The 26,360-nt window shown below is 40.2% G+C and overlaps 1 long non-coding RNA gene across 4 annotated transcripts in view, besides 1 other annotated feature; it reads left to right on the top strand.

Annotated features, from left to right (window-relative positions):
* The window catches only part of HEY2-AS1 (HEY2 antisense RNA 1), a 171,898-nt gene that overhangs the window by 107,266 nt on the left and 38,272 nt on the right, over positions 1–26,360 (top strand). The gene's annotated exons all lie outside the window — the stretch shown is intronic.
* Positions 2,410–2,610: a silencer, noted in NCBI's record as "peak6111 fragment used in MPRA reporter construct". NCBI's record gives its function as "represses an SCP1 promoter by STARR-seq MPRAs in K562 erythroleukemia cells {active_cell/tissue: K562}" and the evidence as "EXISTENCE:reporter gene assay evidence [ECO:0000049][PMID:32103011]".

Genomic DNA, 26,360 nt, shown 5'->3' with positions numbered 1-26,360 from the left:
CAATTTACTAAACGATTCACTAAATTGTAATAACAATAATTTAATAAGAGTGTTAAATACTGTTTGGCTGTTAAAAGATTACTTATATGTAGGTTACATCTGGGGTCTATGAGTGCAGTCCTTCTGCCTTCTCCTAAGAATCACCATGAAGTTGTTATTGGTTCTTGAACAGGCCAATGATTTATTTGAAGTAATTCCACTTTACAAAGAAAATGTGACAATCATACATTGCCAAGGTGAAATGGAAGAGAGGCTGGACACCTGCAGGCCAGTTAAAATATGTGACAGAAGCAAAGCAATTTATGGCCTGCTGGTGGGAGAGGAAAAACAGGTTTGAGAAATATCACAAAAGGAAATTTGAAGGTAGAATCAAAGGAGCTTAATCATTGGATGTATTATTTTCAGCATGGGATATAGTACGTGGAGGCGTTAACAATAATTTCTTCACAGTTTGCCTCTCCTAGGAGGCCTGTTTTCGTGAATGTTGCTCAGCTCTGTTTTGGCCTGTGCTTCGTTGCCCTCCGTTCGCTTTATAATGATGTTTTACACTGCGGTACGTCGCTACTTTCACACAGTGTCAAGTGGCCTCATGCTTGTGCGTGATTTCTCCTAAAGCAGTCTGTGTGCTTCTCATAGGCAGGGAGCGTCTTGCTTATTTTGCGGAATCTAATGGAGGTATTCTAACTATGGTAGGGTTTTAATAAATATAGTTGACTGATAGAGTGACCTGGGGAAAAAGAAAGTGCCAAACGGGGAAGTGATGCAACACAGGAAGATTCAGGAAAATAGACATGGTTCCCAAGTGTCCTTCTGATGACAAAAGTAGAAATAATCAAAGGAGACCCCCTGTGTGAGGTGGATTCTTCTAGAACAGACCACCCCACCATTTAATCAAGTCTGGTCAGTGTCCGGGGAGCTGTTTCTTCAGGCTACAGCTGGTGCACACCCGGCCAAAGGCCTCCCACCGTCTTCATTAACACATGGACGACACGTGCACACACACACACACACACACACACACACACACACACACACACCAGTTGGGCAAAAAAAAAAAAGACCCACCCAATGAGAAAAAAATTCCAAGAAAAAGAGATAGTTTATATGTTTCAGTTTCTCAGCATCTGCAGCTGTCATCTGTTTTAAGTTTGGTAATTTTTATTAAGGCAAAGTGGCGCATGCTGTCATAGGACCTGCTCCAGCTCACGCTCCCCAGCAAGTCACCGGGTATCCCCTGGTGTGCTGAGACATGATATGTTTCCTGCCAGTGGATGAGGAGGAGGGAAAGCTCTGCTCAGCATCAATTTCTAGTTTAACACGGAAACAGAGAAGCCGTGGGTAGACCTGTGAAATGCAGAGTATAATTACTCCATTTAAGGAGTTTGTCCATTAATTTCACAAGTGATTATTAAGTACTCATATTCCCTCATAGTGATTGTATCTCCCTGTGGAGGTTAAGATAGTTGGCTTGCTATCAGAAGGGTGACTTGGCCTATGATTTTCATTTGTGGTCCATTCACATGCCCCATCTGTTCCACCACAACCCAGTCTGCATCTGGGATCAAGATGCCTGGGTTTGGGATTAGAGCCCATATAATCAGAGATGAGAACAGGGCTAACTGGTCCACATTTCAACCAAATCAGTAGTTCTGAGCTTCATTAGCACCAATTAAGTGAATGGATGAATGGACCACAATGATTTGGAGGTGAAGCCTGGCCATTGAAACTCGATCTCTGGCAAACTCTGGGACTAATTCCATTTTTACATGCTTTGAAGGAATATCTGGTAGCAGTTGTGGTAATATATGTGGATCTTCTTCCAAAGACATCTCAGTACGCTGTAGTCAAAGAAAAATGTTGCATGCACCTTTTCCTGGAGTAAGAACAGTGGCTCATGTCACCCACTTGAGAGTGATCCTGATGTCTGCCTAACACTGAGAAAATGAAGAAAAAATTAAGCAGGGCCTGAGACTGGAGATTTCTAGATATTTAACACCCATTGGGTGCCCTGTAGGACACGAGGCAACATGAATGCTCTCAGAAGGCAGACATTGGAGTGTTCTAGACAGAGACTAGCAGTAGCCTTTTAATGACAATCAGTCTCTTCTTGAAGGATGGATTGGGCAATTTGGCTTGAGCTGTTTCTCTTTAAAAACAAGCTGAAACCCTCTTGCAGGTGCTTGAGAAATTGTGCCAAAGTCCTTCCATTGCTGCTGTGACAATGAGCTTCCTAAGTCTTTTGAATTCTAAATGCTGAGGCTCTTCTAGAGACTTCCTGTACGTAGCTTGGATCCTGTGACAGAAGACTATGACTTCACCATTTCCTCAATAATGAGCTACCCTACTTGCCTGCCTGATCCTGCTGTCTCTGTCACTCACCAACTCATTTGACCTCAGGGCAAGGCTTAATCTCTGCGAGGTTCAGTTCCTTCTGTGTAGTTCTTCTGGAAGCAGGAAACCAATCTGGATTGAAACTCTTGGCTGAACACAGCTGGAATATAAATAAAACAAGATATATGTAGTGTGTATTGCGGTGCTCTGCCCAGATTCCCTCCTTAAGGCTGACATACCCAATGCCCTGCTTTTGGGATTAACAGCTGCTGATGGCTCAAAGCAGCTCCCTTTGCTGGAAATTGCCCTCAGCAGCAGAAAACTGTCTCACTCAATGTTACATTTCCTTCCAAGGGTCACTTGCAACCAATGATTTGCTTCTGTAGGTTGTCATAAGCCTGTCCTCCGTGGTTCATTATGGGACAATTCTGAAAGGCCTTCTGAGTTCCAGAGTTCACTGTGAAGCCTCTGGAGTTCTGTTGTAACCTCATGTGGGCCAGCTTCTCACCCTGCCCAATCCTACCTTTTTCACTTCCTAACAGGTGTGTCTTCCAAAAACATTTCTAAAAATATCTTCTGCATGCAATGGTTCATTTTCAGAGTCTATTTCCAAGGAAGCCAGTTGAAGACAGTTGGAACCAGGAGTGGTCATAGGAAATAGATTCTAAGAGAAAAATCTTTTGCCAGCTGAATGACAATGAGGACCCCATGACTATTTCTAAGTGAAATATGGACATTCCTTGCTGTATCTTACTGGTGTAATTGTTAAAACTTTTACTAGTGGTAAATTGGGTTGGGATATTGGTGGAAGGAGACAGACTGGCTGGTGCAATATCTCTGGTTCTTAAGAAGTAGAGGGAATTGTAATTGCAGTGACTTTGGAATTGGGCGGTGTTACTGAGCAACACATTCATCAAAGAGGGATAATGATGGGCTCAGGTGATTACCAATTCAAGACAAAATGTGGAAACTGGAGGGCCTCCTTGGCAATATTTAAGGAAATCCTAATCTCTTGCAGCTGGAGGGCAGACAGAGCGGAGGACCAGGCTCAGGATTTAATCATAAGAAGAGTGGAGCTTCAGAGAATGTTAAACTCACATTCTGGCAATTCTCCTGAGACAGTGTTAGGGCCCAGATAGAAGAAAAATGGAATCCTGAGACTTGAGCTGTGGATACCTGGGTAGATGAGGTTGTAAACTTTGAAATCCTCAATTTTCTTAAATCTGCTGGACTTGCAAAGTGACCTACCTTCCCTTGTGAGAAAATAGTGGCTCTACTTAGCTTAAATAATATGCAGAAGTCTTGACAATGAGGGAAATAGTTACACCTACCCCCACCCCCAAGATCTACCCTCTTTTTATTCCTGGCATTCAAATGATGCTGGTAAATCCTCAGCACAGCCTGAGTGAGGATAGGTTGGGCCAGCCAAGGGAGGAGACAGACTATACATCAAAGGAGTTGCAGGATCTGGATTATAGAGATCAGCAAGGGTGGAAAAGTATGCATGGGTCTTGTTCTTGAGGGTTCTGGCTTAGGGAGCAGTGGAGTATACAGTTGGATAAGGGGGAGTTATTCATACAGGAGCACTCTCCCATAATACAGGATTAAACACCCTGGCAAGGACTCTGGGTACAGTGCTTATATGCTGCTAGGATGGCTCTTTAAGCTTGGAAAATGTGATGGTCCATATTAAGTCAAGTTGAGACAGAACTTTCCTGCCACATGGTGGAGGAAGGAATCAAAAGTCTCAGAGTATCAGATGTGCTAGAGTGGATATATAATGTAAGGCCAAAAACCCCTCAGCTGGCTCTGCTCCATTGGAGGGTCTGGAGGACCCTGTGTTTGACAATAAGGAATGTGCCTGAGAGAGGAACAGCAGCAATGCTGGGAAGACCAGTAGTGCCTGACCTCTGTTGGCCAGGACTGATGACAGGAGATGCTGTGAGAATACTGGGCTCTCTGAGCACAGTGGAGCTGATAAGATCTCAACATAATAGAGGATAGGTGGCAGCGCCTAACAATCAGAAGTAGGTAGGCAGTTATTACAAGGAATTGCAATGTTGAAGAGGCAGTCTTGTGGCCCAACCTGCAGAGAGCTGTGGAGATGGATGGTCAGGGGCTGATAGCTGTCTTACTAAAAGTTTCGAGACCTTATGCAGTTCTCAGATCTGGAACCCACTAACTGATGGAGAGGTTAGGTCTTTATGAGAAGGGACTCTGCCACACGGTCTGCAACAGTGTCACAGGTATCTTTAGCAGTAATTGCCCCATTCTTTACCCAAAGAGGCCTATGCCTATTTACTTGTGTGCATTAGGAAAAAGAGAATACCTAGACCTTTCAAAATTGTTGGTCACAAGATCTGAACTGGCATTGATGCCTGACCCAAAATGCCATTATGACTCACCATTAGAATGAAGACACATGGTTGTCTCGTAATAAGTGGCATTTTGACTCAGATCCATTCACAGTGAATCCATTCAGTCAGTGGACCTACATAATGGTTACTTCCCTGGCCCCTGAGTTTATAACTGTAATGAACATGTTTGATAGTTAGTAGAACCCTCACACTGGTTTATTGGCCTGTGGTTAAGAGGTATCAGAGTGTGAAATGCCAACTGGAAGCCATCAAAACAGCCTTTTTAATCCCTTAGCAAAGATAATAAATCAACATCAATAATACATTCTAGGGAAAATAGTAGACATTAATGACACCTTTAAAGATATTAAGAATGCACAGGCAGTGGTCTCTGTCATTTCTTAATTTAATTAATCATTCTGGCCTTTATAAAAATTGGATAGCTTGACCAAGTTGTACCCTCTTGCAGCAATCTCATGTAGAATCTTTGCTGGAGCAAAATAACATGGTATGCAGCCACTGATCTGGCAAATACATTCTTTTCTAGTTATCAAAAGGATTATTGTATGCAGTTCCCATTTGTGTGAAATAAACAACAATATGCATTTACAGTCCTGCCTCAGGGCTTTGTTAATTCCTCCACTCTGTCTGAAAGAACTGGGGCTATCTGGGCATTCCTCAGAACATCATGTTGGTTCTCTATACTGATGACATTCTGATAATTGGAACAGATTAGCAAGAAATGGCAAGTATGTTAGAGGCTTTGATAAGACGGCCACACCAGAGAGTGGGTGATAATCCCTATGAAGATTCAGGGGCCTACTGGATCAATTTTATATATATGTATATGTGTGTGTGTGTGTGTGTGTGTGTGTGTGTGTGTGTGTGTGTGTGTATGTATATATATATATATATATATATATATATATATATATATATATATATATAAAATAAGTTCCGGGATAAATGTGCAGAACATGCAGGTTTGTTACATAGGTATACACATGCCATGGTGTTTTGCTGCACCCATCAACCCGTCATCTACATTAGGTATTTCTCCTAATGCTATCCCTCCCCTTGCCTCCCACCCTCTGACAGGCTCCAGTGTGTGATGTTCCCCTCGCTGTGTCCATGTGTTCTCATTGTTCAACTCCCACTTATGAGTGAGACCATGCAGTGTTTGTTTTTCTGTTCTTGTGTTAGTCTGCTGAGAATGATGGTTTCCAGCTTCATCCATGTCCCTGCAAAGGACATTAACTCCTCCTTTTTTATGGCTGCATAGTATTCCGTGGTGTATATGTGCCACATTTTCTTTAGCCAGTCTAACACTGATGGACATTTGGATTGGTTCCAAGTCTTTGCTATTGTGAACAGTGCTGCAATAAACATATGTGTGCATGTGTCTTTATAGTAGCATGATTTATAATCCTTTGGGTATATACCCAATAATGGGATTGCTAGGTCAAATGGTATTTCTGATTCTAGATCCTTGAGGAATCACCACACTGCCTTCCACAATGGTTGAACTAATTTACACTCCCACAACAGTATAAAAGTGTTCTATTTCTCCACATCCTCTCCAGCATCTGTTGTTTCCTGACTTTTTAATGATCACCATTCTAACTGGCGTGAGATGGTATCTCATTGTGGTTCTGATTTGTATTTCTCTAATGACCAGTGATGATGAGCTTTTTTCATATGTTTGTAGGCTGCATAAATCAATAATATTTTTTAGAAATTCAGTGTTCTGGGTTATGTTGGGGCATCGTCTCCAAATTAAGAACAAATTGTTGCATCTTACACCTCTCACCTTTATAAAAAAAGCATAATACTTACAAGGTTTCTTCAAGTTGTGGGAGCAGCATATTCCATATTTGGAATATGTCTCAGACCGATTTGCTGCATGGTAATATGAGAGGTTGCCAGATTTGAGTGGGGCCTAGAGCAGAAAAGAGCTCTGCAGAATGCTCAGATCATTCAGCAGGCTCCATGGTGTCAAACATCTATCTGTGGTGGAAGAGGATGCCATGTAGTGTTGATGGCAAAGGCCAACAGGAGAATCACAGTGTAGGCTCATAGGGTTTTAGAGCAAGGCCTGTCATACAACATTCACAAAAAACAACTCCTGGCTTGCTACTATGCCTTGATAAAGATGAAGCAGCTGATCATCAGACATCAAGTAACCATGTGGCCAGTACTGTTCATCTTAAGCTGGGTTCTGACATTGTCACTGTTGTACCAGCACCTCTCCCACAGCTCTCCCTATGGCTGCATGGGGGTAGGGAGAAGCCTGTGGCCAGTTGGTAGAGGAGGAAAAGTCTGAATGTAGTTATGGATCAGCTTGTGTGTACTGATGCAAACTGAAAATGCTGCTACACTACAACCCCACTTAGGAGCCCCTGAAAGATAGCGTTAAGGGAAAAATCTTCCCACTGGGCAAAGTTCTGGGCGGTGCATCCATTTTATGTGGGAAGAGAAGTAGCTTGAAATAAGAATGTACATGCACCCAAGCAGTTTGAAAGATTATGGACAAGGGGGTCTGGGAAAGTGACCATGGATAGACCTATGAGAATGGGCACAAAGTTTTAAGATCTTTGTATTAAAGCCTACCTAGATGCATTCACCATGGGACAGGGATTAAACAACCATGTAAACCAAATCACTCATTAGTTGACATCAGAGACTGGCTGATCAGTCTCTGACAGTACAAGGACAATGGGAACATGAATAGAGTAGTCATGGTGGCAGGGATAGGGGCTATGATGGCCCTAACAGTATGGACTGCCTCTCGTACTCATCAAGACTGATCTAGCTACTGCTGCTACCAAATACCCAACCTTCCTCTACAAGCAGAGCCTCTAACAGCACTATTTCTGGAGGGGAAAACCAGCCACTTGGTGGAAAGTTGATTACTTTGGAGCTCTTGCACACTGGAAAAGACAGCAATTCATCTTTACCATTATGTACACATATTCTGGGTGTGAATTTGCCTTTCCTGCGCACAGAGCCTCTGCCCAGCACCATTATCTCAGGCTTACAGAAGATTTGATTCATCAGTGTGGGATACTGCACAATATTGCCTTTGGCCAATGCACCCACTTTACAGCAAAGGTTGTGTGGCATTGGGTCCATGACTTGGGAACCTGGTCCCACCCCACAGGAGACTGCTGGCCTGATGGAGTGGTATGATGGATTTTAAAATAAAAGTGAGATTCCCTCTAGGGATGGGGCACCATCCTCCAAAATGTGGTATTCACCATCAGCATTAGGCCCTATGCATTCTGGCTTCCAGAGAAGAATGCTTTCACCAGGAAACAGTAAAAGCACCATGAGCTTGAAAGTATGGCTGCTGTCTGGTCCCTTCAGGTTCCTTGTGCCAAGAGGACAACAGGAAAGGAGTCACTGTACTGGCAGGAGGAATTCTTCTTGATCATCGGGAGGAAGCATGGCTGCTGCTACAGAAAGAGCACAGGAAAGAATATGATTATTGCTCACATATAATACCCAGTCGTAACAGTAAATAAGCAATTATAACAGCCATGGCCTATGGAATACATGGTGACCAGTGATAAGGGTTTGGGTCACCATACCAGGAGTTGTCTAAACCAGCAGAGGTTCTAGCTGACAGTGAGGGGAACCTAGAATGGAATGTGGAGGAGGAATGATGACCATCAGTTATGACTTGGAGGTCAGCTTCAGTAGCAGTATTTTAGTTCATTTCCTGTTCTTTCTGAAAAGTCCCTGGGAGAACAGATCAGATAGAATGTGGAGAAGCTGTAACTAGATGAGGAAAATTTATGATAAGAAGCAAGTGGGTCTGAATGGTGCAGGGGATAAACCGTAGTGGACACTATGGTGCTCTGCCTGGATCCCCTTTTCAGTTTATGTATCGGGATTCTCTCCCCCACCGCAGTTTCCTGGTATAGTCCCTCACTGGTGATGTTGGCTGCTGAGGACTCATAGCTGTGCCCTTGCAAGAGTTGTGCTTGACAGCATGGAATGCCACATCCAATGTTACATTCCCTCTCAGAGGTGGTCTCTGGCCAATAACTGCTTTATGTAGACATGCAAAATCCAACCCCTTGCCTCAATCTGGAGTATCTCTGAAGGGCATTTCCGCTCAAAAGCTTTCCAGATGATAAGCTAGAAACTCTTATAAGTAACTCTACTGTTACTTCATTGCAGGTCAGCATCACTCTTGGTGTGATCCTAGCCTGCTTACTTTCTTGTGGGTGTATCTCTGAAAATATTCTGTAATCAGACTTCTGCATGCAATTCTCCATCTCAACATGTGTTTCCCAGGAACTTGAATGAAGACAATGTATAAAGTTCCTAGCACAGAAGACACCCAGTAAGTGTCAGGTCTGTCTCTTTCCCTCTCTTATTCCTTACTGGAAACCACAGCCGTTGTCTGTAATCTCATGAATATTTACCAAACAGTCATAATATAATTGATCCTGGTAAGAGGGAAGGATGAGGATGTAGGACATGGTAAGCTGTCAGGAGGCACAAACCCCAAAGCATCACAGGATGAAACAATGAACTAAAGCCTGAGCACGTGACATGGCAGGTATTTTACCATGCATGTTGTGTACACTGCCAATTTTACACTCAGAGGTGGGTATGATTCTTCCATTTGACAAAGAAACTGCCACAGAAAAGGAGAGAAACTGCCCACTCTCTAGCGTGCCATACTGCTTCCTCGAAGCCTTCTTACTTCACAAATGGTTTGATTTTCCTGGCAGCTCGTCATTGCCAAGTAACCCATGGATTGCAGGAAGCAGCGCAGATATCCTGCTCTATAGTGCGCAGTGATCTCAGAAAAGCAGGAATGCACTACTACACCCTGAAACTGTGCTCTAAATGCTGAAGGACAAGCGAGAGAGTGAGCTTTCCCTCCTAAGCTCTAACTCTAATAAAGACAATTGTATCAGAAAATCAAACTTTTTCTTTTTTCTTTTTTTTTGACAGAATTTTGCTCTTGTTGCCCAGGCTGGAGTGCAGTGGTGCTATCTTGGCTCACTGCAACCTCCGCCTCCCGGGTTCAAGTGATTCTCCTGCCTCAGCCTCCCGAGTAGCTGGGATTACAGGCATGTGCCACCACGCGTAGCTAATTTTGTATTTTTAGTAGAGACGGGGTTTCTCCATGTTGGTCAGGCTGGTCTCGAACTCCCAACCTCAAGTGATCCACCTGCCTCAGCCTCCCAAGTGTTGGGATTACAGGGGTGAGCCACCGTGCCCCGCCCAGAAAATCAGACATTTTAAAGTGGTACAAAAAATAGAAAGGATGAATAAGACCTAGTGCTAGCTAGTGTTTGCTAGCACAATAGTGTGACTTTTTAAGGGGTACAAGAAATGTAAAGAATGAATTAGACCTAGTATTTGTTAGCAAAACAGTGTGATGATAGTCAAAAGTAATTATACATTTTAACAATAACTAAAAGATTATAATTGGGTTGTTTGTAACACAAAGGATAAACGCTTCAGGTGATGGAGACCCCATTTACCTTGATGTGATTATTACACATTGTATGCCTGTAGCAAAATATCTCACATAACCCATAAATATGTACACCTACTAGGAGCCCACATAAATTAAAAATAAAAAATTATTGATGAAAAGAAAATTAAACTTTTTCGAGGTCGGGGGTGGAGGTAGAGTTAATGTGTCACAGGGTACTCTGGCTGAACAGAAATAGTGTGACTACTTATTGGGACATTGTGATCAAGGACATATGGAAGGATTAACTGCAAGAATCAGTTTCAGACATGATCTTCCCTGGAGAATTCACTACAGTTTATTTCTCTGTCTTTTCACGACATCAGAGTCTGATGGGCAATATTTTCCTGAGTGACATGTGCCTAGAGAGGTATTGGAGGATGTAGAGAGACATCTGTTTTGATTTGTGACTTATAATATGCAAAGAACTGCAGAGAGAAAAGAGAAAGAGAGAGAGAGAGAGAAGGAGAGGAGAAAAAGAAAAGAGAGATCCAGTAGAGGGAAAACATAAGTCCTTGTTTTCTCCTTCTCTGTGCCAAGTAGGTATATGCTGCTGCTAGGACCATTTGGCCAGACTGGCAGTCAACAATGACAGCAGTCTAGCTGTGGCTTGGGGCCAGTGGGAGGCAGGCTGCGTGGCAGACTGAGCATGGGTGAGGGGCAGGTGGAAGTGGGAAGTACTAGAAGGAAATTGTTGCAGCCAGCATACAGATTTGGAAATTAAAGTTTAAGATCTGTGTGGCAAGGAATGAATGACCAAAAAAAAAAAAAAAAAAAAAATTCCTCTTCAAGCTGCTATTGGGCTTTGAGGTGAATGTGTTTCTGGTACATTTGCTGAAATGAAAAAAAATTAAGATGATAGGGCTATCCATTTGTGACCCATGTGGCTGCTCATGGACAGCCCCTATTTACGTAAACTAAGGGCGTGAACTCCTCCTCCTTCTTCAAGGCCACCTTCCTCTAGCTCATGTGGATAGGATGGTCTGCGTCTTTTCTGCTCCAGGTCACTCCAGGCCCCAGCTTGCTTCCGCTCTTGCCTTCATCTGCCCACTTCACCCTGGGCCTCTGCTGCCTTTGCCACTCTTGAAACTTGGGACAATCCCTCTCTTGCTTTATTTCCTTTATTCCCCCAAGTTATTGCTGCTACAAGGGTTTGTCATGCAGCAGCTTTCACTGAAGCTTTGGGGACAGAGGAGAGGGGTCACAGAATAGGCAATAACAGGAAACCCCTCCGAGAGTGTTCTTGCCTGTGGCCTTCACCAGCTGCTGTGAGACATGGCCTCTTCTTACTCGCCCTGTGGTGATGTTCTCTTTTTCCTGTTTCTTGTCTGAATTCCAGTCCTGCCCCACTCCTCTATCCTCAAGGACTATGTCTTAGTCCATGTAGGCTGCTATAACAAAATACCTTAAATTGGGTAATTAATAAATAATAGAAATTTATTTCTCACAGTTCTGGAAGTTAGGAAGTCCAAGGTGAAAGAGCTGGCAGATTTGGTGTCTGGTGAGGCTGCTGTCTGCTTCCAAGATGGTGCCTTGTTTCTGTGCCCTCAGGAGGGGACAAACACTGTGTCCTCACATGGCAAAAGGGACAAAAGGGCAAGGCAGCTTCCTGAAGCTTCTTTTATAAAAGCGTTAATCCCATTCACAAGCGCAGAGTCCTCGTGAGCTGTCCAAATCTCCATCTTCTAGTATACCATCACCTTGGCAATTAGGTTTCAACATATACATTGTGTAGGGACACATACATTTAAACCACAGCAGGCTGCAATTAAGCACCAGGTCTGGGGTCCCGACTTTCTTTGTGGCTGATCTTCTACTACATTTGGGGCCTCCAATCAATCTCTTCACCTCATTCAGAGTCCCTTTTGTGTAGTGAGGGTTTAATAGTGATACATATCACCCCAAGCAGGTTCCTAACTTTCAGAGTGAAACTTGAGCCTTTGACTTCTAATTCCTCACTTGACATTTCCTCTATTCACTTTTCTTTCCCCATTCTGAGGGTCACTGAGCCTTCTGGTTTACATCAAGCTAATCTCTGTAGACCCATGTTGAGGGCATCAGTTCCTTTGTATGTAAAATGAGAAATCTTTAATCTGGAATCTTTCTTTACAAGTCTAAACCAGAGCCCAGAAAAATTGATATATATGTGTGTGTGTGTGTGTGTGTGTGTGTATATAATTTACATATATGCGTATGTAAGATTATTCATTTTAGTTTAGGTTGTGATGGAAAAAGATAGAAAAGAACTTAACTATCTATCAATAGAGGAAAAATTAGACAGATTATGGTTCATAATACAATAAAGTACTACGCAACCATGAAAAAGAATTAAGAGTCTCTATGTTTGCTTTTCTTGAATAATGTCAGTAGTTTATTATAAATTGAAAAAGCACCATCTGAATCAAAATGTAGAACATGATTTTTAAAAGTCTCTCCCTCCTTCTCTCTCTGTTTCTCTTTCAATGTAGAAATAACTTGATAAACATAGAAAAAAGTCGAATGGGAAGTCTTCAGACTGCTTCTCACTGATGGAGTGGGAGAGTAGTGCTTTTAAATCTTACTTTACATAATTTTCCAAGGAGGTAGTTAAGTTGCAGAATCATGAATGTCCCTTTTTAAAAATATTCTTCAAGTTAAAATATTTACAAATATAGCATAATAGGAAACCAACTGATAAAAATGAAGGGATTAGGCTAAATGTTCTTTAGATATTGTCAAGTTTTATTATTCTGGAATATGTATTTCCAGGTCAAAGGCAAATAAGATTTTTAAAATATAAAATGCCTAAAATAATTTCTAGACTATATTAAGCACTTAAAATATGTAACTCCTATGCGAAAATTTAATTTGATCCTTTAATGTATCCTTGCTTCTTGTATTCTTTTTTATTTTTAAGATTTTTGATGTTCATTGGTTTGCAAGCATTAGTGAAATTAAAATTTTTCTCTGGAAACTTCATAAGTAATTAAATGTATACTTACACAATAATTCTTTCTTGATTTGTTTAATATCTAGCCAAGTGCAAGTAATGGTATTTAATCATCTTTATTCAGCCAGCAAATTAACCACACGACATTCCTGTGATCAAGGTGAGGCACAGATAGGGAAAGAGACAGCTTCTAACCCCTCGGCCCACAGCCCTGCAGTCTCTTTACACTGTTTAGCCCAGGTTGTAGTCTTGCCACATGAGGCTGAAGCTTTTTGGTACCTGCCTGGTTGGTCATCTCCCCCTCTTTCCACCCAAGACCACTGAGTTTTCAGAAGTAAATGAGCATGAGAAAAAATACAGGATTTTGGCCTTTGGGGTGTACTCATCAGTGAAGCCACTGACCCTCTGCTACAGGTCTTTATTGCACTCTCTGGCCACCAGACCGTCCTCCCTTGATGCCTCGTGCACTTGTGATAATCCCAGGTGTGTCCCTCTGGCTTGTGACCTGCCTTCTGTTAAACCCCTAGTCTTTCAGTTTATTCAAAAAATACTAGATTTGGCCCTTTAAGAAACTGAATTCACTCTCCCAGATCAAGACAAGAGTCTACTTATTCCATGGAAGAAGTAATTCAGTTATAGTTGTCCTGGTGGCCTAAAAATGTCAGTGCTGCTTCCAGAGGTGCCTGATGTATTCCCTGAATGTAATTTATGTACTGGGAAAATCTGATTTGGTGAGTCTTTGTTCTGTGAAACTCAGAAGCAGGTCAAAAATTGAGAATTCAGTGTATGACCTCAGAATATGTGGCAAAGATGCAACACCACTCAGTATGGAAATAAAAAAACTTCCACATTCCAGAGGAGATTTTTTGTGTGTGCCTTTTTCTTCTGGTTTAGTTTTGCGACCCTTGATCTAGGGAAGAGAGTTTCTCTAACACGAGGCTGCTCCCAGCATAACAATTCATTCCCACAATATCTTATGTAACTCAATCGCCGTGCGACAGTTTCTGAAGAAAGAACTGATAGCAACGACCCACATGGAAAAGCTTTTTTACTTCTGGAGTACAGTCCCTTTCCTTTCACTCATTCTCTTGTCATGTTTGTTTTCAATCTGTCCAGGGAATATGTTAGAGATTTGGAGTTGAGTGTGTATTGTCACTTAAGTGGTGAATGTCCTCATTTTTCATCTCACCAAAAATGACTGGAAGTATTAACCAGGAGCAGAAGATAAAAAGGTTGTAGTTTGTCACCAAGGAATCCTCCTCCCTCTGGGACCCGCCCTCACCCTCTTACCCTCCATCTCCCCTACAACCCCTGTCCTTCTGTCCCTTAAGCTTGATTTTCATGTTAAGAGGTTTTGTGACTTGATGGAGAGTGTTTCTTTGAATTAGGCATTTTAGGTAGCATGAAAAAGAAATAGAATATGAGGTCCTTGCTTTCAGAATGCCTAAAATCAAAAGGCTCTGTATCCTGTAATCTTTTCTCTTTCTCTTTTGAAGATTTTAAGCATAGTCACTCAACTGTCCTCCTCCCTTTCTTGAGTCTGCCTTGAGGGGACAGTGAGATGATAACATTTGATTTCTCATTAGGAACATATGAACAGGCTCAGACACTTTTAAAGTGTTAATTAGTAGCAGCCAGTACCGTATGAATTCATTGTACCATAGGAATCAGGTAGAATCTCATACAGCTTTGGGACCAAGACCTTGGGTAACAGGGAATTTTGACCAGCATGGTCAATGAGGGGAGCTGGCAACTTCTTTTTTAAATCTGGAAAAGCTCAAATTAAGCTTCTTTTAGTTTTGTCACCAGGCTGTTTGCTGGTAAGTTGGATTTCTGAGCCAGATAGTGCTACATTTAGGGAAGTCAACAGAGCTTATTGACACTGTTTTCCAGGTAGTGGTGCTGTATTTAAGCTTGCAAAATTCTTTTTTCTATGTCCTAGGAAAGTCAAGAGGAAGTTCATATCTCTTAGACTCCTTTTTGATGCTTGGCATATAGTAGGTGCCCAAAAATATATTTGTTGATTAAACCAAATAAAATGCAGGAAAAGAAACTAACTTCGATAGCTCTAAGACAGTCATCCCCTCCTTTAAGTGAGCAAGAAAATCAGGCTCCATTTATTTTAAACCTCTGCATACATTTTTCTTTCTTCCTCATATTTGCTGGTTAGTGACTATGCTTTGAATTAGGAAGAAGATGGGTGAAGGGATGAGTGAGCCCTGCCACATTTAGGTTTGTTGAATATTGCAAATTGCTTTGAGTTAAAAAAAAAAACCCAGAGCGTGTTTGGCAAAACCGTTTCCCCTCAATGTTTTAAGAGCATGTGGACTTAGATGGAAATTTAATCTGTATGTTCATTTACACGTAACTCATCAAAACATTTTAAACAATATTTTGAAGTTTGCAGAGCCTTTTCAATCTTTTTTATGGAATCTTTTGAAGCATTTTGGGAGTTTTCATGGAAATCTCTATTTGGCTAAGACCAAGCATACTGGACCCTCTTCCCACACTCCTCAAATATTTCATATCAACCCATTCCTCCATTTCTAAATGGATGTTTATTAAACTTTATGGAGAAATAGACAAATAATTGAAATTTGAAAGGAACAAAAACACTGTCAGCCTTTGATGGACAAAAGCTGGACAAAGTCAATCTCTGATGGTGTTCTAATGGAGGGTAAAGGTGCCATGGGCAGTTCACACTGGCCCTAAGAAAAATATTTCTGTTTTGTTTGAGAATGACTCATGTCTCTATTAGTTATGAAACTCAAAATGCTAGAAGCATTTGTTGAATTTCAGTTAGATTTTTTAAAATATTGACAAATTGCTGGCAGAGAGGACATGGTAGTGGTTGCATTTTGGATAGGAGATTGTTGCAGCAGTGGAGGATGGATCCCAGGGAGGCCTGGTTTAGATGCGTACTGCAGTGGTCCAGGTGCTGAGGTGGGCAGGCAGGCACAGATCTGAGAAATATTTAGAAAGTAATTTAGTAGGAGTGGATGATGACAGATTGGCTAACTTAGGTGAGTAAATGGATAGCAGTGATAGTAAGTTAGGCTTGGAATATAGGATAAAGAGCAGTGGTATGGTTTCGATCTGTGTTTCCACCCAAAACTTATGTCAAATTGCAATTCCCAGTGTTGGAGGTGGGGCCTGGTGGGAGGTGATTGGATCGTGGGGGTGGATCTCTCATGAATGGTTTAGCACCATCCCCTTGATGCCATCCTCATGTCTCACAAGATCTGGTTGTTTAAAGTGTGTGGCATCTCCTCCCTGGCTCTCTGTCTTGCTCCTGCTATGGTCATGTGACAGTGCCTGCTCCCACTTCACCTTCCGACATGATTGTAAGTTTCCTGAGGCCTCCCCAGAAGCCGACCAGATGCCAGCATCATGCTTCTTGTATAGCCTGCTGAACCCTGAGATAATTGAGCCTCTTTTTTAAATGAATTACCCAGTCTCAGGTATTTCTTTATAGCAATGCAAGAATGGCCTACTACAAGTAGGTTTGGAAAGAAAGAAAGATGATAATCTCAGTTATAGACATACTAACTCCTACATGTAAACGGAGATGTAAGGAGATATTCGACTTACGATTCCGAAGCTGTGGGGAGAGATCAGGCTGGATAACAATTTGTCAGTCACCAGCTTATAGCTAGGTACTTATAGGTGAGAGGTGGGTAAGCCCAATTGTGAAGGTTTATAGACCAAATCTATACTTATAGAGATGAAGGAGAGCTGAGGGGAGGGCACAGCATAAAGGGAGGGAGCCTTTCTGGGTGGTAGTGATACGAGCATGCTTTTAGGCTGAGGAAAGTGAGCCTACTTAGAGAATGAAATGTTTGAAGAGTTAGGGTTGAGATGGGATTTCTCAGGGAAAAAATGGTAGGAACAAGGTGGAGGACTGGGTCAGCATTAGGTAGAGTTTTGGCAGATAGGAGAAAGAACCTTTTCTCTGAAACCAAAGGAGAGGAAGGAGATAAAATTTTAAGATGTATGCAAATGTATGTATGTGTGAGTGTATGTGCTTTAATTTTTTCAAGAAGTAGTAGTCAATGTGGTTGTCAGCAATTAGAAATATGAACTGGCTTGAAATATTAAAAAGTTAGAGCAAAATGGAGAATAGTCAGTGTATATTGATGTGAAGTAAAACATATATGTAATAATTGCTCAGAGAAATAAGAGGCAACTGGCCTTGAATTAATCATTTGCAGTGACTCTTACAGTTGCAAATAACAAAAAGCCAACCAAGGATTAAGAAAAACAAAAGTATATGTGTTGGCCTACATGGTTAGCCATCAAACAGTGTCCCCAGAAATCTTCAGCCTCCGCTTCCCTCTGAGTTGCTTTAATTTGTAAACAGGTGCTTCTGTGTGGTAGCAGCAGATCCAGACTTATATATCCTTTTGGAAAGATAAGATTGAGTTTGAAGTGCTGGAGTTTAAGATTTCTGATGTGGAAAACTGGGGGATAATACGTTGCAGGGTCTGGCCACGCAAATGGTTAATTCAAGTAAGGTGGAGATAGAGGTAGTATGAACTGAAGAATCCGAGGAAGTGTGAGGCCAGGGTCAGGGAACTGTCACAAGGACACATTCACAATGATGTCGGGGTTGGGACTGGGAAATCTACTTTGAACTAGATGCCAGTTTTCCAGGAATGAAAAGGAGTGATTAGGAGGTTGCTTGATGACAGTAATAAGAAAAAAAAAGATACATACTATAAATAGATGTCATAAACAGGTGGCTATTTTTTTTCTCCAGTGAGGACAAGGTTTAGGTTTGGAGGAGCATTATGAATTAGAAAAATCCTGACTTCTAAGTCTTGGAACCCAGATCTAATTAATTCAGACTAAATATTGGTATATTTGGCAAAACTGAGGAGAGGGCATGGGTGGACGGAGCTGCCTGAGAGACTGGAATCTAGTATTTCCCCACAAATGACACTGTCTTTCTCTACCACTCATTTTGCATCTCTTCACCATTTGGGTTCTATTCTGCAAAAGGTGACAGCTCATATTTTTACAGTGTTGCCACATAAGAAGAACTCTTCCTCTTCTCTTAGTTCTAATGGGAAACATTTCAGGGGAGAGCTCTGGCACAGCCCAGTTAGGTGCTCACCATTGGTTCTAATGTGACCAGTGATACTGGGTGGCTATGATCGGTTCAGTTAGGGTTGAGGCCAGCCCTACACTAATTGCTATGTCAGGGAGGTGGGACCTATAAGACAGTTTTCACAATAAAACCCCAAGTTCTTCCAATAACCTGTAAGCCTACATGGTCAGATTCCCTGCTAGCTTGTTACCTTTGCCCACATTCCTGCCCCACAGATTTCACTCTCCTTCCTTGGATAGGTCAAATGTGCTTCTGGATCAGAATTTTTGCCTCTGGTGTTCCATAGAAATACTTTCTCTCCAGATACCTGCATGACTCAATTCCGTACTTCATTCAGGTCTCTATTTACAGATCAATCACTTATTCAGAGAGGTCTTTCCTGATCACTTTAACCAAAACAATTCTCCCTCCCCATCTAATCCCTAGCCTCTCTTGCTTGTTTTTTCATAACATGTGTTATTTCTTTACATATTATATATTTGTTTATCTTGTCTCCCCCAAAAGAATGTAAGCCCTGTGGGAATAGGGATACTTGTCTGTTTGATTTATTGCTGTATCTTCAGCTGTTCAAGTGCTGCCTGCTTCCTGGCCTCAAGGTGGGACAACTTTGCAGTGAGATTTAAATTTCAAAGCTCACTCTCCCCACAATCTGGCCAATCCTTATTTGGCTTCATCCCCTTCCCCATCCTGCCTCACTCCCTTTCTTACAAAAGAGTTTCTTGAGAATGTTTCCACATTGAATCACATAGAACTGAATCTCTGTCTCAGGATCTGTTTCTGGGGAAACTAATGTAAGACATTTGCATCCAAGTTACCAGCTTTATATATTATCTACTAATTATATATATATAGTGTGTATATATATATATATAGTGTGTATATATATATATAGTGTGTATATATATATAGTGTGTGTATATATATATATATATATATATAGTGTGTGTATATATATATATATAGAGAGAGAGAGAGAGAGAGATTGAGAGAGAGAGAGAGAGAGAGAGAGAGAGAGAGAGAGTGTGTGTTTCCAGGGAAACTAATGGAAGATATTTGCATTCAAGTTACCTGCTTTATATATTATCTACTGATTTTATGCATGTATATATATAGAGAGAGAGAGAGAGAGACGAGACAGAGAGAGAGAGAGAGAGAGAGAACCAGTGGCAATTTAATGTGGACTTTCTTATTTAGTGGTACCTGTTTGTGGTTGTGTTCCTTATGTTGCAAGCTCTAACCATGTGAACACTGTAGAAGCAACTAGAAAATTATCAACAGTTTTCCCAAAGGTAAAACAAGATAGAAATCACCCCTGAACAACTGAAATACAATGTAAGCCATGTATGTAATTCTAAATTTTCCAGTTAAATTGCACATATTAAAAAAAAACTAAAGTTTTTAAAAAGGTAAAAGTAGTTGATTATATATTTTATTTAATCTAATAATTCAAAATATTGCTACTTCAACATGTAATCAATATAAAATTATTGAGATATTTTATGTTCTTCATTTTTGGAATAGCTCTTGGAAATTAGATATACAGCACATCTCAATTTGGACTAGCCACTTTTCAAAAGCTCAGTAACCACAGGTGGGTATCACATTGGACAGTGCAGAAGATAGCTTGCTTTGGTCAGAATCATTTAACATTTGATTCATTCAGTCAAAAGTATAATTTCTCTCTTACTTTCTCAATTCTGCAATTTTTCTTTAGTAGCTACAAATGTATTCCTCAAAGGCTTAGCAATATGCAATGATAATGAAAGGGTCTGCAGGGCTGCTGAAGGTCTCCTGTGTCTGCCTGCAGAATGCAAAAGAGAAACAGAGTTTCTTTAAAAAAAAATTATGATGTTGATGAATACAGAGTCAGGGGCTCCCATCATTAAGAACATGGTGTTTCCCAATAATTGTGAATGCTGAATTAATCCAATGTTCCAAGTGGAAGATAGGACTGACTGTGCTTTATTTTAGCCATTCCACTGGGCTGGTGGCGGAGAAAGCAATTCTGAGGCTCCATAGCACATGGAAGCAGGCCGATGGGAAGCTGTGGAAGGTTGGTTCCAATTAGTCTGAGGTTAGCAAGAGGTTTAGCCTCATTCCTCTCTAGAAGCAGGGTTCTAAAACCCGTGTAATACAAATGAAAAAATAATGAAGACAATTTACATACACCAGACTTCTGTATATAATGCTTTCATATGTGTTATCTCTTCTTTGACTTGGCATCCAGAGATAGGTAGGACTTGTATTACCTCTCACCATTCTCTAGGTCATTGTGGTCAATACCTTGCCTCTGGTCACACAGTTCCTAGCACCTGATCCTGGACTTGAACTGGAGTCATCTGATTGTTACCTAATCCCATCACATCCAGACATTGCTCATAAACCACCTGCAATGTAGGTGCTTGGGAATACAAGAGAAGAAGAAAGCAAGGCCTCAGATCATTTGTACAATTAAATGATGTTAAATCTTTCCAGATTTATATATTTTTCCTTCCCTGATAAACTGTAAGTGGAAGGCTTTCCAGTCCTTTGACTTAGCTTTGGAAACTTGAAAAGTTCTGGATATTATGTTGCTGCAGAAATGACACATACGTGTTTCTCCTTCCTAAGCTTTTTCCAAAGGCACTAGTGTAAAAACCAAACAGCTGAGAAATCGTCGCCTGGCCTCTCTTGGCAGAGAAATCATCTCCTGGCCTCTCTTGGCAGGGCCTCCCCACTCCCACTTCTTTCCTGGGTCCAGTGTTAGCTACACCCACAACAGGGAATTTGAATTGAGATCTAGTGCTCCATTTCATTTCTTTAGGCTAAGTACAAGAACTGGAAGAAGTTAGTCTCCTCTTGAACAAGACAATTAGGCGCAGAAGGATTTAGGCAATTCCAAGTTTTCAAAGACAAAGATGAGGCCATCAGATGGCTTTTCAGTGTCATATGGATTTGCAGGATACTAGTTAAATAAATTAACTGTAAACCATAACTTTGGTTCCAAATTTTGTACTCAAACTTAGCTGCACATTAGAAACCTGAGGGAGGAGCTATTTATAAGAATATGCTGGTACCTGTGCCTGTCCTACACAGATTCAGATTTCATTGATCTGGAGTGGGGTCCTGTGCATTGGTGTGTCAGGTGATTCTGATGTGAGACCTGGGTCAAGAACCATTATAAATTTACAGGTTTTTTTGTAAAGCAAAATGTCAAATTTATATCACTCTTTCTATCCATGCAACATTTTCAGAATTTCTAGGAAAAAATCAAACTTCATTTTAAAATTGCAATTTGAAGTTTAAAAAGGAAAATGAGCTGCTTTCTGATTCAGAAAGGACTACAAATCCTTTTACAGGACAGATTAAACAGGTGATAATTTACACTGCTCTCTTGGAATGACCTTGGAGAACTGCAGGGTGAGACAAGAGTTGTAAAGTGGAGACTACTAACCAATGTTTGTATTTTTCACTCTTTCTGCTCTCTCTCCCTCTTGCTCCTTTTCTCTTTTAATCAACCGGTGACACTGACTGATAAATCAAAGTTTTTGTAATCATATTATTTGATGTTTTTGTAAAATGAAGTTTTATACCCTTGGTCTCAGTTTTGGGTAAGTGAAAGAGTAACTAAGACCTGAGTTAAAGTCCCAACTCTTCCCCTTCCGTGCTGTATGTCAATGACAAGTTCCTTAAGTCTTTAGTCTTCAATATTCTCATCTATAAAATGTCAACAATAGTAGTTATGTCATTTAGTTGTTAGAGAGATTCACTTAGACTACCTATAAAGAGTTTAACACTGAGTTGGGTGCATTTAGTGAAGTTATTATTAATTCTTAGCTTTCCCACTATAGTAAATCGACATGTAACAGACAAATGCTCAATGAATCTTAGTTTCTCCTAGTCTTCTTCCCTTCCTGAGTTCTCCTTAAGAAACCTGAAACAGTATCTCTCCACGTGCACCAGCTCTCTCCCTAACCCTATAAAATTTTTGCCATTTTCTTATATTGGCTCTCGGTGTTTTCTGAAGGTCAATGGTCAATGTTGCTTAATAGAAAAACTGCCCATTATAGCAATTTCACTTATTTTAGCTCATTTTTCTCCATTTCAAACCCCAATGTTGGTTTGTATTGTTGAGTGAGTGTTTGCATTCCACATTGCCAACTTTGGAGGCATATGCCACTGGGGCCTGCCCACTGAATTACACACGTCCTCCTTTTCATTTCTATTAGGCTGGTGCAAAAATTATTGCAGTTACTTTTAATAGTAAACTTTTGTACAGCAATTGTTGGCAAAACTGGTATCTTATGCCTCAAGAACAGCCTTCTTTTTTCAGCTCTCAGATGTATTGTTCTTTCCCCTCCCCACCAACTCCTGCCGCATCCTATTCCTCACTTCAAAACCAACTTTCTTAGTAAGATTTGCCACATAAGGCCTCCCAGATTATGCTCTGCACATAATCAGTGATAGACCATGCACATAGAGTAGGTTGTGGATGGTTCCCCCTAGAAGTTTGCAGTGTACACCCTGTATAACCGTGTGCCTGTAATATTCCTACCAAATTATTTCTCATGAGTTTATCAAGAGCCCATTGTTTTCCAAAGCAGTTGTATCATCTTACATTCCCACCATTACACATGTATGAGAGTTCCAGATCCTCTACATTCTCACCAATACTTGGCATGGTCCATCTTTCTAATTTTAACCCTTCTAGTAGGTGTGTAGTAGTATTTCATTGGGCTTTAATTTGTATTTTCCTGATGACTACTGATGTTGAGCATCTTTTCATGTGCTTCTTTGCTCTTTGTAAATCTTTGGTGAGGTGTCTATTCCAATCTTTTTGCCCATTTAAAAAATTGGGTTATTTGTTTACTTAGTATTTAATTTTCCCACACACATGTGCATACACCCCTAACATATAATGTATATGCATACTTATGTGTTATGTATATAATACATAAAATATACTTTTGAATTTTGATAATGTCTCTTTGCCAGCTTATAAATTCTTCAGAACAAAGGAGCTCCTTGAGAACAGAATACATTATAATATGTAAATCTATGGCATCCAGTTGAGATTCAATTACTTGATGGATACTTCTTAAGCATTTCATAGTGGTGGGGACCAGTCCACATGTCTTTCTCACACATTTGGAGACCATGCTGCTCAGAGTCAAATGTTTTTTAACGTTAAGGCCCTGAATTAACATAATCCTATTTAAAGAGTTTTGTATGGATAACATATGTTACACAATTTGCAACAGAAGTACTTTTAAAGTTATTTTAGAGAAAGAAAAATCAGTAGTTTTCCCCAAGTAATTAAATCAGAAAGTATTTACTTCTAAATTATTAGCAATCTGTTTAGAGCAGCAGTTTAATATTTCCAGTAAGCTATCTCTGTAGGTGATTTTAAGTAAAAATATACAATTTTAAAGGAGCAAGTGCCTGTTTACTCAAATGCAAAATGTGTCTGTATATTGTCAAAAGGAAGAATCATGGTTTCTGAAAATAATTTTAAGAGGTTTAGACCAATTGGCAACCCTACTGTGAGATATCTTACAAAGTGTAATGTTCTTTGGAATAAATGTCACATGAAAAATGAATAAGAATACTGTGTTAAACTTGTCATAGTACTTCTGCAGGTGCTGACTTTACTCAATCACATGGAAGTTGGTAGCAGCATCTCCTGTAAATTGTGAGAAAAGATTATTCTATTGCTTAAAATGATACCACATGCAGAATTTTGGCACATAGTACTAGTTATTTTAATTTGAGCTTAATTTCATTTTTAGCTCAATAATGGACAATTTCCAGTGGGTCATTGGGACCTTGATAGATTGCCCAGTTCTTCCTCACTCTCCTGGTGGGCTGTCAGCTAACCAAGCCCAAAAATTCCTTTCCCTGAACCACCCAAAGAGATGCCTCAGTTTTGTTTTATTCCCCCACTCTGATGTCTCACACCCAGGGATCATTCTGGTTACGATTTTAAATCTATTTTCTTTTGTCTCATACTTAGATCCCAACTGTGTCACCCTACCTGAATGGCATAACTTCATTTAGGAAATTCTACATGATTGAGTGCTCTACCCACTTAATAAAATGAAACTATTTTGTTGACATTTTCTTGTTTTCATGTTATAATTTACATATGGGACTCTAGGGTTTTTTTCTCTGTTATTTGGACAACAAATTAAATCACCAAAATCTTGTAACAATCTCCTTTAGTCACCACCATTTCACAGAAATTTATGGAGGGCTCATGTGAAGTTCCAGACACTTCACATGTGATCTTTAATTTTGATAAAAATTATGTAAGCTGGGTCTTAATTCACTCATTTTACAGATGAGAACATTAAAGTTACCTCCAAAGATTACACAGCCATTCAGTATCAGAGCTTTCTCTTGTTATCAGTAGCAGCAATAATATTTTTTTAACTTGTTAAAGCTCTGTGCTAAAATTTTGAAAAAAATAAATGGTGGAAGTACCACCATCATTAGCATTAACATATTTTGAAAAAAGTTAATGGTACACATGAGAAGATAGTGTAACTGTATTCATTTCCAGGTCTAAAAGATATGAAATACAGATTAAGGGCTTCAAGGTCACCCCCAGAAGAATCAAGTATTTTGATATATATTACCACCCATTTTTCTACTTGATAAAGAGATCAAATGTTTGATTACTTACATACATGAACTCCCAAAAATTATTACTTTGGATCTTTTATTTTCTGGATTGGCTGAGTGTTCTTTTTTTTTTTTTTAAGTTATGTTTTGCTAGTTTTAAAATTTCATAAGCAAATATCATAGCCTGTATAGGTATTGAAAAACAGCCATTTAGGTGACTTACAGTCATCCCATTCAGACACAAGCAAAGAGGGCAACTTCCTAAAGCTGAAGATAACCTTTCTGTGAAGGGTATTTCAGAACTCTGGAACAGACAAAGCTGTTATAATATAGACGTCATTGCTTGTGGGCGCTGGCAAGGTCAAATTAGATAGAAATTGATACCACACAAAATTTACTGATTTTTCTTACATGTTAAAAATGAAACAAATTAATATTATGTTACTAGATTATAATAGAAGTTTATAAACAATTAGTACGTAAGAAAGACATAACGTTGGGGGAGCTTTTCTTAATTAGTTGATGAGCATGACGCAGTCAAGTTCCTAAGTCCTTCCTCCCAGCCCCACTCATGTAGTATTCGTTGAGAACAAATACTTGTTCTCCTGGGACTGTGGTCTGAGAAGGAGGCAAACTAGACATGACACCCACCTGCCTCCCACAGTGGGGAAGAGGCCAGTGGCAGAGCTCTGTGTTCCAAGGATCTCCATGTCCTTCCAATTCTTGCCAGCAAGATTAAAGAAGGAGGGTGGGATAAAGCAACTAGAATGTTCATGTTATAGTCAGAATGAATAAAATGGCTTTAAATTTCCCAGAGAAAAAGACAACTTTTTCATCTGAGTTGGAGGGTCAATGTCCCAAGCTCAATGTCTTCATAGATGCTTTAGGAGAGGGGCTGTGAATTTCTTCTATAATAAACCCTGTCAAGTCCAGCTGTCTTTAGCTTTCTCCTATCCACCTAAGGTGGGGCCTGAGAAGCTATTAGGGATCCTATTTTCACTTCCTTTCAAAGATAGGAAACAGAGTGCTAAATTGAACATGAAAATCAGGGGGAAGTGTGGCTCCATTTATGAGATTTTTATGGCCATCTTAGGGAAAATATTGAGTACACTTTTAATGCAGTTAAAGACAATTGGTTGGCAACAGAAAGTCAATTCGAATAAGAATTCAGCCCAATTAAAGGAGATGTAAAAAGTAGTTCTAGCTTTGAGTGTGGAAAACTTTGTATTGGAGAAATTATTATAGACAGGCTCTTGATCTGTATCTGTATTTTAGAAGACGCGATTAATTATTAAGATGATGAACAAAATAACAAAACATTAAAAATGACACATGTGCTAAATAGAAATCCACCCCCCCAAAATAAGTATTTGGTTAAAATATACAGATAGGTTAAGGCTTTAATACTAATACATTTTGGCAGCAGTAAAGTCATGCATTATAACTTGGCATGCAGTGCTATTTTAAGCCATCTCATTACAAAAGGACTTCAAAAAAATGTGTCAGAGAAAGAAAAGATCTACAGGAACC

Source organism: Homo sapiens, chromosome 6 (assembly GCF_000001405.40).
Source record: "Homo sapiens chromosome 6, GRCh38.p14 Primary Assembly".
Lineage (NCBI taxonomy): Eukaryota > Metazoa > Chordata > Mammalia > Primates > Hominidae > Homo > Homo sapiens.
This window is presented reverse-complemented; position numbering and strand designations above follow the sequence as displayed.